Genomic DNA, 1,896 nt, shown 5'->3' with positions numbered 1-1,896 from the left:
TAGGAAGAAGGAGAGGTAAGAATGCCCCTCTCCAGCACCTCCGACATCTGCTGATTTGCAGACCCAGGGGAGACTGGGATTATAAGTAGGACTCAGGATATATAGGGAGGGAAAGAGATGGGGGCTGGGTTTCTGCATCCTCTCCCTAAAGGGTAAGCATGGCTGTTGAGTCTCCACACAGTCTACAGACTGATGTCTCAAACTCAGGACCAAAGTCCTGTCCTTAAATATGTCTCTTCCTCAGGACTACCAGAGGCAGGCAAAGCAAGATCTAGCCTAAAACTAGAAGCAAGCAAAGCAAGATCTAGCCCCAAACCAGAAGCAGGCAAAGCAAGATGTGGCTCAAAATTGGAGGCCACTAAATAGTTAAAGCCCCTTGATCCCCAAATGCTGGCTCTGGCCAAGGTCTCTGCTGGGGCAGAGCACAGACAGCTGGGCCCAGGGGCCAAGCAGTCCCTGGTTGTGATCTGTGTGGTCTGGCCTGGAGCCAGCCAGCCAGCAAGAGGCCGATCCACTCACAGGGATACAGAGAGCCTCTCAGAAGCCTCAGTGCTGAATACAGGAAACAGTTGAATGAAGAGTAAAAGAAGCGGCCTCAAAATGCTGTTTCCTCGGAGAGTCAGCAAAGTTCAAAAAGGAACAGTTCCTAGGCCGGGCCACTCAGCATGGGGCTTGGAGACTGGAGAGGGAAGGAATGGGAGTAGTGGCTATGAGCCCCTGTGGGATTGTGGCACATGCATAATTCCTCGGAGGGACACTGGACCTTTGGTCCAGGCTGGCGTTTTTCCAACGCTTATGACCATAACCTAGAGTAAGAAATATACTTTACATCATGACCCAGTAGATATATACACATACCTAATGGAAATAAACATTTCATAAAACAATGCCTTATCCTTGATACATAGGATGCACTCTGATACTTTCTTTCCTGGTCTATTCTGTTGATTTAAAATTCTGGTTGCAACCCACTAAATTCATTTCACAAGGTACCAAGGGGTTACAATCCACAGTTTGAAAAACGCTAACCTAAACCCATCTGAAGGAGTTGTCGGGCTTTTTGGGAGATGGAATACAAACAACATTAAACATTTTACAGGACTTAGGCTAATCAATATCACCCAAATCTCAGATGGAATGTGTTGCAGAAGTGGGATTCAACATTCAACAGTCCTCAAATCCAGATATGTAAATCTCAGGCCTTGCTCTATTAATTCAGGGCCTGTGGACCAAGCTGTTAATGACAATCTCCTTGACCCCACGAGGCCTTCATTCATTCATTCATTCATTTAGTAAACATGTATGGAACGACTACCATGGGCCAGGTTCTCTATACTTGGTGCTGGGAATTCCGAGATTAGCAACACAGGATGCCTGAGTTTAAGGAGCCCACATCCCACAAAGGACGCTTTAGATACTTCTGGCTGCAAGCAACAGAAGACTCACATCAAAATGATTGAAACCACAAGGACATTAATCATCTCACATGGTAAAATGTACTGAAAATTGGCAGTTCCAGGGTTGCTGCACTCAACAATTTAACAGCATCAGCTCTTGGCCAGGGCTCTCTGCATCCTTCCATTCTGCCATCCCAGCATGTTGGCTACTTCTTTAGTGGCCACAAGACACTGCAGCTCCAGATAACACACTTCACAGAGCCAACATCAGAGACATTTAAAGGACCTGTTCTTCTCTTGCAGCTCTCCTTTTTTTTTTTTTTTTTTTTGAGATGGAGTCTCACACTGTCTCCTGGGCTGGAGTGCAATGGCATAATCTCGGCTCACAGCAACCTCCGTCTACTGGGTTCAAGTGATTCTTCTGCCTCAGCCTCCCAATTAGCTGGGATTACAGGCATGCACCACCACACCAGGCTAATTTTTTTGTACTTTTAGTAGA

The sequence above is a fragment of the Homo sapiens genome, chromosome 13 (assembly GCF_000001405.40).
Source record: "Homo sapiens chromosome 13, GRCh38.p14 Primary Assembly".
Taxonomy (NCBI): domain Eukaryota; kingdom Metazoa; phylum Chordata; class Mammalia; order Primates; family Hominidae; genus Homo; species Homo sapiens.
Note: the sequence above shows the minus strand (reverse complement) of the source record.